General features: G+C 48.0%; 1 annotated feature.

The window, feature by feature from the left end:
• Nucleotides 5,435-5,988: an enhancer, noted in NCBI's record as "H3K27ac-H3K4me1 hESC enhancer chr6:158394739-158395292 (GRCh37/hg19 assembly coordinates)". NCBI's record gives its function as "activates a minimal SCP1, AML or CMV promoter by ChIP-STARR-seq in naive H9 embryonic stem cells {active_cell/tissue: H9 hESC(naive)}" and the evidence as "EXISTENCE:reporter gene assay evidence [ECO:0000049][PMID:30033119]".

Raw genomic sequence — 12,156 nt, 5'->3', positions numbered from 1 at the left:
GAGATGTATAATGCCTGGAGGGTAGGGAATTGGGAAGGGGAGGAGATGGGGAAGGAAGCAAAAGCCAACTCCACCAGCCCCAGAGTAAGCCACAGCAGGAAATGTAGCTCAGCGTGGTGTGGGTGAGGGAGTCAGGAACCCCAACAGGTTATCAGAGGAAACAAAGAGGGGAAGTAGGGGAGACATGCACTGAACGTTTGAGCCACCCTATCCCCACCCCCTGTTGCCCTACCAAATCCATATGTTGAAGCCCTGACCCCCAGTGGAATGGTTTTTAGAGATGGAACCTTTAGGAGCTCGTTAGGGTCAGATGACGTCATGCCAGTGGGGCCCTCTCAATAAGAATGATAGGATTAGTGTCCTTAGAAGAAGAGACAGGCCAGGCGCGGTGGCTCATGCCTGTAATCCCAGCACTTTGGGAAGCCAAGGTGGGTGAATCACTTGAGATCAGGAGTTTGAGACCACCCTGGCCAACATGGCAAAACCCCATCTCTACTAAAAATACAAAAAAATTCACTGGATGTGGTGGTGTGTGCCTGTAATCCCAGCTACTCGGGAGACTGAGGCAGGAGAATCACTTGAACCCGGGAGGCAGAGGTTGCAGTGAGCAGAGATGGAGCCACTGTACTCCAGCCTGGGCAATAGAGCACGACTCTGTCTCAAAGAAGGAAAAACAAAAAAAAAAAAAAAGAAGAGACACAGAGGGAAGGGCCTGAGCATCTGCCGGCCAGGAAGACGGCCCTCAGCAAGAGCCACATCAGCTGGCACCTTGATCTCAGAATTTCTAGCTTCTAGAACTGAGAAATAAATTTCTATTGTTTAAGCCACTGGCCTGTGGTATTTTATTGCGGAAGCCTGTATTATTAGTCTATTTGTGTTACTATAAAGGAATACCTGAGACTGGGTATTTATAAAGAAAATAGATGTCATTGGCTCACGCTTCCACAGGCTGTACAGGAAGCATGGTGCTGGCGTCTGCTTCTGGGGAGGCCTCAGGAGGCTTACAGTCATGGTGGAAGGCAACCAGGAACCAGCATGTCACGTGGTGAGATTAGAGCAGGAGAGCTGGGGGGAGGTGCCGCACTCTTTCAAACACTCAGATCTCCCGTGAACTAACTGAGCAAGAACTCACTTATCATCAAGAAGATGGTACTAAACCATTCATGAGAGGTCCACCCTCATGATGCAATCCTCCCACCAGGCCCCACCTCCAGCACTGGGGATTACATTTCAACAGGAGATTTGGAGTGGACAGACATCTAACCCCTATCAGAGCCCGAGCCGAGTAAGACAGGAGAGGTTTAAAGGAAATACAAATCTGTATTTGGTGCCTGATTGTATGATATGAGCTGCACAAAGGAAAGTGGGAAGTCAGACAGGACCCTGGCATTTTGAGAATGGGACAGCAGCGATACCATCCCAGAGTGAGGAGGAGGCGAGTTTAATTGGAGACAGAGACCGGGTGGGCAGGTCGTCCAGTGGGAAATGCCTACAGATGAGGGGCCAGAAATGAGTATGGCAGCGATCAAAGGGGAGTGGAGACAGACAGGGGTAGAAGGCAGGGGCAGGAGGAAAAGACGATCAAGAAGTACCCCGAGAAAGCAGAGGGGCCAAGGGCGTGACCTGGACAGCTCTGGATCTCACATGAACTGAGTGAAAACTCATCGTCTAGAGGATGGCGCTAAACCATTCCTGAGGGCTCCTCCCTCTCAGAAAAGGAGGCATTTTTTAACAGACCGGAAGGAGGTAAGAGAAACAGCCATCAGGCATCTGGGGCTACAGCCTCCCACATGCAAAAGCCCTGAGAGGTGACTGGTTTAAAAACCTCAGGAAGGTATCCAAGAATCAGGACTCAGAAAAGAAACTTGGTTTGGTGAGAAGGTAACGGGGACCTTTGAGGGGGCAGCTTCACTAGAGGGCTGGGCAAAAAAGCCAGCTTGCAAAGAAATAAGGAAGAAATGGCGCTGTGAGTGTAGTCTGCTGGCTCTGGAAGCCAGGCTGGGAGAAACACAAGATGAACAGAATGGGGGGCAGACGGGATAGCAGAGACCCTCGAGGACTGGCCAGACCTGCACATGGTGGAAGGCAAATAGCAAAGAGCAGAGCAGGAGAGCTCACTCCCCAGCACAGAGAGGCACCTGTCTCTAGAGGGGAGAAAGGAAGTCCCCTGAAAAGGAGGTGGCAGGATCTTCAGAGGGAGGGAGAGGAGGTTGGGAGGACAGGTATGGAGGCAGAAGGGAGCAGGCAGTGGGACAGGGCTGTGGGCAAGCTGGAGGAGGAGGCGCCATCCTCCCAAGAACTGGCCCTTGGTGAGCTCCCCATGAGGACACGAGGGTGGGAATGGGAGTTAGCGAGAGTGGGAAAGGCCCAGGACGCTGGCCACGGTGCACACAATCTAGAAGTCATAGTCAAGATCCTCTGGGCCTAAACCCAGGGTGGACTGAAGTACTGGAGGTAGCCTTGGCTGACCGGCTCTCTGGTTCCTCTGCAAAACGAGGAGAAAGCCTCAAGCCTGCCAGTTCTAACTGAAAATCATATCCAGGCTCGGAGCACGGTTCACTGGCTCACTGTTTCAGGTTTGGTTCCCTGTGGCAGGGACTCTGAGCAGGGGATGTGCCTGCGGGGTCTGTGCTGGGGAGAAAGATGGACGGGGAGGGGGAGGATGAGGAGTCGAGTTGCCTGAGTGCATCCGGCGGTCCTGGCTTCTGAAGAGGGGCGACCTGGGCAGGGCACCCCAGCCGGGAGCAACACTCGCAGCACTGGGGGAATAGATGCTCCCTCCAGGACCTACAGTTTGAGGTCAGGGCAGACACCCACTGTCCCCACCTGGTCTGGCATCTTTAGCTTGGATCTAGTCACCCTTCTTCTCCCCAACCTCGCTGGCAGCCAGAGTGGCCCTGCTGACACCGTCAATCTGCACAGCTCACTCTGTGGAGGCTGAAGTCCAGGCGCTCTGTGGTCTGGCCGGTCTCCCGTCCCATATGTGGCTGCTCTCTGCCTTGTCCAGCCAGGCTCGCCGTGGTCCTCATGCTGGTGCACCAGGTGAGCCCCCACACAGGGCTTCTGCATGTGGAAGGCAGCTGCCCCAGAGGCCCGACGCTACTTCTCTTACCTCCTTCACAACCATCAAAAAACAGCTTCTTAGTGAGGCCTTCCCGAGCCTCTCTATCTAAACTTCCTCCCCCCATCCACTCCGTTATGAGCTGAATTTTGCCCCCCAAATCCATGTGTTGAACTCCTAACCCCCAGTACCTCAGAATGGGACTGCATTTAGAGGTGTGATCTTTAAATAGATGGTTAAGTCAAAAGGAGGTCTTTGGGGTAGGCTCTAATCTATCAGGACTGGAAATTTTTGCCAGGTGCGGTGGTTCACGCCTGTAATCCAGCACTTTGAAAGGCCAAGGCAGGAGGATCACTTGAGGCCAGGAGTTTGAGACCAGCTTGGACAACATGGTGAGGCTCCGTCTCTACAAAAAATTAAAAGAAAGATAGGCAGGCATGGTGGCATGCATCTGTAGCCCCAGCTACTCAGGAGGCTGAGGTAGGCGGATCATGTGAGCCCAGGAGTTTGACATTACAGTGAGCTATGGTCACACCACTGGACTCCAGCCTGGGTGACAGAGCGAGACCCTGTCTCTTAAAACAAAAAACAAAGGCCGGGCGCAGTGGTTCACGCCTGTAATCCTAGCACTTTGGGAGGCCGAGGAGGGTGGATCGCTTGAGCCTGCGAGCTCAAGACTAACCTGGGCAACATAGTGAAACTCCATCTCTACACAAAATACAAAAAAAGTAGCTGGGGCAGTGGTGCACACCTGTAGTCCCAGCTACTTGGGAGGCTGAGGTAGGAGGACCACTTGAGCCCAGGAGTATGAGGTTGCTCTGAGCTGAGATCATGCCACTGCACTCCGCCCTGGCTGACAGAGCAAGACCCTGTCTCAAAACAAAACAAACAAACAAACAAAAATCTAAAAATAAAACATAAAAAGATGAAATTTGGACGCAGACATGTGCCCACAGAGGGAAGCCCATGTGAGGACAGAGGGAGAAGAAAGCCATATTGCACAAGCCAAGGAGAGAGGCCTCAGAAGAAAGCAACCCTGCCAGCACCTTGATCTTGGACTTCCAGCTTCCAGAACTGAGAAAATAAATGTCTGCTCTTTCAGCCACCCAGTTGTTGGTACTTTGTTCTGGCAGCCTGAGCAGACAAATTCACCCCCAACTTTTCATGTCTTTCCCTGTTTGATTTCTCTCCTTAGTGCTTATTAGTCTCTATTATAATAAATCTTTGACTGGTTTACCCTGTTGTCATCCAGGTCTCCCCCTGTCAGGTAAGCTCCTGTGCAGGGTTTCTTCTGTTTTGCTTTGTTTAGTCCTATTTGTTCGTGGTGTATCCCTGGTGCCTAGAACAGTGCCTGGCACCTGCTAGGCAGCCAGGAGTCCTTGTGCAATGAGTAAGTGGATCTCCTTCCTACCATCTGATCTCTGTGGGAGTGGAGGATTCACAACCTTCTGGGGCTGTCCATTGCAGAGATTCTTATGCTGCTTGCTGGATTGATTGAATAAATATTTACTAGGCACCTACTATACGGCAAGCATTGTTCCAGGTGCTGGGGGATACAGGAACAAAGAAAACAGACAAAAATCCCTGGTACGGAGAAGAAATCAAACAAAGAAATCAAACAAAGTACATCATGTGCTCATGGCAGTAGTGCCATGGAAGACAAATGAGTGGGGAAAAGGGGGTGCAGAACTCTAAATGGGGGACAGCTGAGGCCTTGCAGGGAAGTGGCATTTGAGTGAAAAATGAAACAAGTGAGGGGCGAGCCGTGTGGGCATCTGAGGGCAGGGCATGTCAGGGAAAAACTGGGAGGAGGAAGAGGAACCCCGGGGAGCAGGGGGAGGTGGTTGAAGAGGAGGCCAGAGGAGGAAAGGGGCCCAGGCTGTTGGCCACTATAATAACTTGGGCCTTTATGCTGAGTGACAGGGCAGAGAAAGAGACATGCTCAGATTTATGTTTTCACCAAGCATTCTAGCTGCTGAGTTGAAACTTGAGTGGAAGGGTGGAGGCAGGGAGACCAGGTGAGACCAGGAAGGAGGCTGCTGCCGTTGCCCAGGGTGGGAGAACAAGGCTGATGGTGGCGGGGTGGTGAGAAACGGTTGGATTCTGGCTAGATTTTTGAAGGGTGAGTCAGCAGGAGTTGCTTTTACAGCAGATGTGGGATGTAAGGGAAAGACAGGGGTTTGGAAGATGGAGATTTTGGTCAGGGCAACTGGAAGGATGGCGTTGCATCAGCAGAGACGAGTTTGCATGGGGAGGAGCAGGTGGCTGGGGGTGGAGCGGGCAATTTGGGGCAGGCTGGTTTTGAGACGCAGATTACACATTCAGTCGCAGGTGTTGAGTGGACAGTAGAGTATGCAAGCCTGAGGTCCAAGGGCGAGATCTGGACAGAGATGAAAATATGGAGGTCATCGGTGTCAAAAATAAAATCAGATAAAATATTACAATTTTAGAAGTGTACTGTGCATACTAAACAATAATTTGCAAACTGGGTTGCAAATTGTTTGCAAACCAAACATGGTAGGAAGCCCCATTCACAACAGTTCATTGAATCATGCTGACAAGGTTGTAAAGCTTATGTTTTGTGTTTCTATGGTTAGAGCTAGCGTTTGGGGAAATCGGGATGACTTCAGTTTTAGTTATACGGTTATGGGTGATTGGCCTGGGGGTCCATCTGGACCATAGCCCCCATTTCTCTTCAACATCAGCACACAGACAGCATTTAAAGCCTTGAGCCTAAGTGAGTTTACCAAGGGCCAAATGCTGATCAGAAAGGGAAGAGGCCCGGGCCCGTGCCCTGGCGCGCTCTGACAAGTGGGAGAGGAAGAGGAACCGGCACCGGCCACTGAGTAGGAGACCGGTGAAGGAGGACGATGACCAGCAGGATCCCAGTGTCCTGGATCCAATGGAAGGAAACATTTCAGGGAGCAGCCAGTGGTCAGTGATGGCCAAGGCTGTGAGGGGTCCAGGAGGACGAGGTCTGGGAATTGTCCTTGGGATTTGGCAACGTGGAGGTCGTTGCTGACCCTATAAGAGCAGTCTCGAAGGAAGGCTGGGGGGCACCAGTGCTTTTTCACAGCCCATTTCTTCCTGCTTGACCCTCTGTATATGTGAGGATCTAGTTATCAACTTGAGATCGCGAAAAGTACACAGCCTGCCTGTGCACAGTAGCTCACACCTGTAATCCCAGCACTTTGGGAGGCCGAGGCAGGGCAGATCGCCTGAGGGCAGAAGTTCGAGGCCAGCCTGGCCAGCATGGTGAAACATCATCTCTACTAAAAATACAAAAATTAGCTGGGCATGGTGGTGGGCGCCTGTAATCCCAGCTACTTGGGAGGCTGAGGCAGGAGAATTGCTTGAACCCAGGAGGCAGAGGTTGTGGTGATCCAAGATTGTGCCACTGTACTCCAGCCTGGGCGACAGCGTGAGACTCTATCTCGAAATAAAAATAAAAAGAAAAAAAGAAAAAAAAAAGAAAAAAGAAGAAAAGCACGCAGCCAACTTGGAGACAGTGATTCTGACTGGCTCCTCCGTGGCTTCTCCCGGTGACCCCTGTAAAGGCCCCTCAGACTCCCAGCATCCACTGCTCTCATTACACTTGCTCTTCTTGGACTATCCTGAGTTCCCCCACTTCTGAAATGTGAAGTCACCAAAGAGTTCCCTAAGGTCTAACTCATGCAGAACATAATGAAGGCGATAATTCATGTGATGTTCTGAGTTGATTTCAATTTTATGTAACTTTGCACTTTCCTTAAAGCAGATTCATTAAATGTACAACTAATTATGATTAAGTTTTTATACCTTAATAAGAGTTTTCATCTAAATACATTCATAAACTAGAAAACATCCTTTTGTCAGACCACATGTTCCTTTTGGAGGTTCAGAAAAGTATGATCTCTGGCTAGGAGCAGTGGCTCACGCCTGTAATCCCAGCACTTTGGGAGGCCAAGGGGAAGGGGGGTAGATCACCTGAGGTCAGGAGTTCAAGACCAGCCTGGCCAACAGGTGAAACCTCGTTTCTACTAAAAATACAAAAATTAGCCAGGCGTGGTGGCACACACCTCTAATCCCAGCTACTCAAGAGGCTGAGGCATGAGAATCACTTGAACCCAGGAGGCAGAGGTTGCAGTGAGCCAAGATCCTGCCACTGTACTACAGCTTGGGCGACAGAGTGAAACTCTGTCTCAAACAAACAAACAAACAAACAAACAAACAAACAAACAAAAAACCAGAAAAATATGATCTCCATAATTATGCCAGCAAAGTAAATTGATGCATCAGCAAAGAACGGATTGATTCAGCCTCTCTGTCTTTCTGGCGCTCCAAGATTTTAGCTCTAATTTTTGAATAAAACTTTGCAGTTTTTCAAAGTACTTTTTAATATAAATATTATATTAGATATTAAAAACCCATGAATATTTAAGGCAAAACATCCCAATATTCTTAACTTATTAATTCATTTATTCAACCAAACTTCAACCTCCAATGAATTTCTTTAGTAGCCTCCTTGAACTCTGAATCCTTAAAGTTACTGGAGAAATTGCATAGCTTTGCAGGCTGGTGTCATTTTTCAAAGCAGTAATTATTTAATGTTATCAGTTAGAGTTCATGTTTCTAATTATTTCATAAATGTCATAAATTTGTGTGAATCAGAACTGAAATAATGCTTACACAAAATAACTGATATGTCCTTTTTAATATCTAGTTCCCCTCTACTTCTTTTTTTTAATCTCCTTGCAATTTATTTGTTGAAAAAAACGAAGCTGTGTGTCCAGCCATCCTCCCCAGCCCGGATTTTGCTGAGCATGTCGCTGTGATGTTGTTTAGCCAGTTCCTTTGCCCTGTGTTTCATCTGTAGCTCGGTGGCTGGATCTAGAAGCTTCATTAGATTCCGTTTCATGGGTGGTGGTGTGTTCCTCCACCAGGAAGCCTGTGTCTGATTTTCTCTTTGTGATATAGCAGCCATTAATCATCAATGCCTTAATCCTTGTGAAATGGTTATGTTCCAATTCTGTCATTCCTTCTTCATTCAGTAGCTAAAATTCTTCTATAAATGGAAAAATTCTCTTCTGCTACTTGTTTACCCAATGGTGACACAAACAAAAATAAAGCAGGTAGAATAGGACTCTTTTCCTCTGTTTCCTGGTGTTCAGAATAATGAGTTGTTTTCCTGTCTTTCTGAACTCAGAGTTTAAACATATTTGATGTGTTTCAGTCCATCGCCATTACTATTCTGACTGATGCTCACATGTTCCCTCTTTGGCCAGTGAGAGCCTCTTTGAGGTGGCTCCTGGGTCCTTCTGACATGACCCAATGGCCTTTGATGGTTTCCTTGCCTTCTGGTATAGCAGTATCAACCTCATCTTGTGCATTTTTTTTTCTCTAGACATGAAATCGACCATTTTTACAAGAAGTCTTGATTCTTTTTGGTGGAAAAAGGAATTTCAAGACCACAGTTGGTGTTATGACATCTACTCATTTTACCCCCAGGATCTCAAAATGTAACTGCCTTTTAATCTCAGAAGTTTTACAGTTAAGCTCGTTTCCTTTAGAATGATGATGTGAACCTTTTCCTCTTTCCTCACATTTCCTATTTCCCTCTACCTCCTTCATCTCAGCAATCTGTCTTGCCTCATACTTTCCTGAGAAATAGAGTCAACCGAAAAGAACTGCCTCACGATATTTTCCAGGGTGCCAACATTTTCCCATCATCTTCTTCCAAAGTCCCTGTTTCCTTCACCCCAGCCATTTGCTCTCTCTCCCTCCCTGAGGATTGTGTCCCTTCTTTCATCCCAGTGCCCACAGCACTCATCTCTCCCTCTCTCCTGGGTGGCTCATTCCCAGCAGGGTACAAATGTGCTCTAGTGGCTCCCACCAAAAAAGGAAGCCCTCCCCTCACCCCACAGCCCCCTACACTCTTCCCACTATACCTTTCTCATCGACCATGCAGTGCTTTGGCTGTGTGCAGTGGCTCATGTCTGTAATCTCAGCATTTTGGGAGGCCAAGGCAGGAGGATCACTTGAGGCGAGGAGTTCGAGACCAACCTGGGTAACATGGCAAGACCCCATATCTACAAAAAATTTAAAAATTAGCCAGGTGTGATGGTATATGCCTGTAGTCCTGGCTACTCAGGAGGCTGAGACAGGAGGATTGCTTGAGCCCAGGAGTTTGAGGCTGCAGTGAGCTAAAATCGTGCTATTGCAGTCCAGCTTGGGTGACAGAGCGAAACTCGATCTCTAAAAATAAATAAATAATCAAACACAATAATAAAACAAGGATTGTTTGTCAATGTCAAATGAAGCCAATCTGCAGGACTGTGGAATTTTCTCCCAACACTGTTTGGGGTGTTGGAATTGTTAAAAAAAAAAAATTTATGGAAGACATTGTTTCAGCCTGAGCTCTGGCACTAGGTCCCAACAAACCAGACAAAACCAAAGTGAAGTCACTAATGCTAAATGCCACAAAGTCAAATGAAGCTTTAAGGAGGCAGATAGATCCCAAACCAGACCAGTTTTTCCTGAAAACAGGAGATTCCAGTCTATCTGAGTCCATGTAACGAGGAGCTGCTCTCTGCTTTAACCCTTACAAAAAAAAAGTAACGAAAAAAGTTAACCAGTTTTTTTTCCTATTCTGTTTCCTTGTTGCCATTTTATAAAACCCAGTTTTCTGCTATTGCCCAGTGAAAGCTTTTATTTTATTTTATTTTTTGAGACAGAGTTTCACTCTTGTCGCCCAGGCTGGAGTGCAGTGGTGCCATCTCGGCTCACTGCAATCTCCACCTCCTGGGTTCAAGTGATTCTCCTGCCTCAGCCTCCTGAGTAGCTGGGATTACAGGCACCCACCACCATGCCCAGCTAATTTTTGTATTTTTAGTAGAGACGGGGTTTCACCATGTTGGCCAGGCTGGTCTCGCACTCCTGAGCTCAGGTGATCTGCCGGCCCCAGCCTCCCAAAGTGCTGGCATTACAGGCGTGAGCCACCGCACCCGGCCTTGTTTTATTTTGTATAAGGGTGGTTTCCCTGATTCATGACTCCTGAATAAGAGCCAATTAGATCTACATCTAAATTGGTTGTTATTCTGTCTTTTGACAGTTCTGGCGACTGCAAAGGGACCCAAAAGAGACTACTGACAACTCCCAAGATCCCTTAAGAAATGCAGAAGAGGCCCTGCTGGCCCTGTTTGAGGTCTCCTGTCCTTATGCAGTCCAGAGGGATGTCAGTTCTTCTCAAATTAGACCTGCTCTTTTTGCAATGAAGCCCCTGATCTTTTTGGCTTTTGAATTAAGGATTAGTTTGTGACCTTGGAAAGGATCCCCAGGGTAGTTTGCGCTGTGAGAGGGCACTTGTCCTCCAGGTTGCTGTGGCTGATGACTCACTGGCAAGAGCTGCAGTCTTAAAGGCAACTAGCGGTGTTTGCAGTGAGTGGTTATTCTTACAGGGGCCAAGAAATCTGACTTTCAGAATCTACAGGTATTTGTGTTTCTATCCTCTTCATTTCTTTTTCTTGCATGCTTAGGTTGCGGGAAATCACTGGCTAAGTTGATCAAGGGTATCTCAGAGCCAAAGCCATAATTTGGTTGGTGGGCATGGTTCAGGCACTTAACCACTATTGGAGCACTTACCAACAATACTCCTGCCAGGCGCAGTGGCTCATGCCTGTAATCCCAGCACTTTGGGAGGCTGAGGCGGCGGATCACCTGAGGTCAGGAGTTCGAAATCAGCCTGGCCAACATAGCGAAACTCCATCTCTACTAAAAATACAAAAATAAGCTGGTGTGGTGGCGCACGTCTGTAATCCCATCTACTCAGGAGGCTGAGGCAGGAGAATAGCTTGAACCCGGGAGGTGGAGGTTACAGTGAGCCGAGATGGTGCCACTGCACTCCAGCCTGGGAGACACAGCAAGACTCCGTCTCAGAAAAAAAAAAGAAAAAGAATAAGACTTCTGTGAAAGGCTTAGCTGGTCATGGAATGGGCTAGTTGATATTAGGTCACCCACCAGCTGCAAGAAAATGTTCATGCAATGAAGTACACTGTGGAAGGATTGTATGAGCCAGAAACGGGATCCTTAATTTCTGGCCATGCCTGCCTTTCCATGTATAATAATATGGCCCCAAATACCTAACGTAGATGACGCGTTGATGGGTGCAGGAAACCACCATGGCAGGTGTATACCTATGTAACAAACCTGCATATTCTGCACGTGTACCCCAGAACTTAAAGTATAATAATTAAAAAAAAAGAGGCTTTAAGAGAGTGCATCATTCACTCTCTTTTGCCCTTCTGCCATGTCAGGAAATAGCGTTCCTCGTCCCCCCCCACCCAAAAAAAAGAATATGTCCCTAGAAGCTGCAAATATTTACAAAATCGCAAAAGATATTTTAGAGTCACGGTGTCATCACATTTTAGAATTACAGTATAAAAGATCTTACGAAAAATGTTTTAGAATTACAGTGGCCAGGGAGGGAGAGCTTCAGCATAAATAGCTAGTGCACGCGGGGCTTAAAACCTAGATGATGGGTTGATGGGTGCAGCAAACCACCATGGCACACATCGACTTATGTAACAAACCTGCACATTCTGCACATGTATCCTGGAACTTGAAGTAAAATAAAATACAATTAGAAAAAAAAAGGAATTGCAGTGGCCATCTGTGGAACGTTCTAGATGAACAAGACCATTTATCTAAGAAGTGCACTTGAAGCCCAAGCCTCCCAAATTCTGCAAAGAGAATGGGATTTTTATTTTAATTGGCGTTTAGAAGCCTCAAAGAGACAACAGGACTCGTGAGCCTAGGCAGTCTAAGGCCAGGAAAAACAGGGGCTGTCCATCAGAGCGCGCCAACAGCCACCAGTCAGGAGGAAAGCAAGTCCGTCCCTTTCGAGTTCCCTGGTGTCAGTCATCAGTGAAGCAGCTGGGGCGCTTTGCCAACATCACCCCCCCACAATCCCCACCCCACACACCCCTGGAGGTGTTAGGAAGACCCATGGGGCACAGGTGAGGACTGAGCTCCCTCTGCTCAGCTCCCTGGGAAAGCCAGTCTGGGTGCCGCTGGGTGGGACAGGTGCTGGACAGCTGTGAATAGGAAGGGTAGGTTTG

This window comes from Homo sapiens, chromosome 6 (genome assembly GCF_000001405.40).
Source record: "Homo sapiens chromosome 6, GRCh38.p14 Primary Assembly".
NCBI lineage: Eukaryota > Metazoa > Chordata > Mammalia > Primates > Hominidae > Homo > Homo sapiens.
The sequence above is the reverse complement of the archived record's forward strand: the minus strand, read 5'-3'. Positions and strand labels throughout refer to the sequence as shown.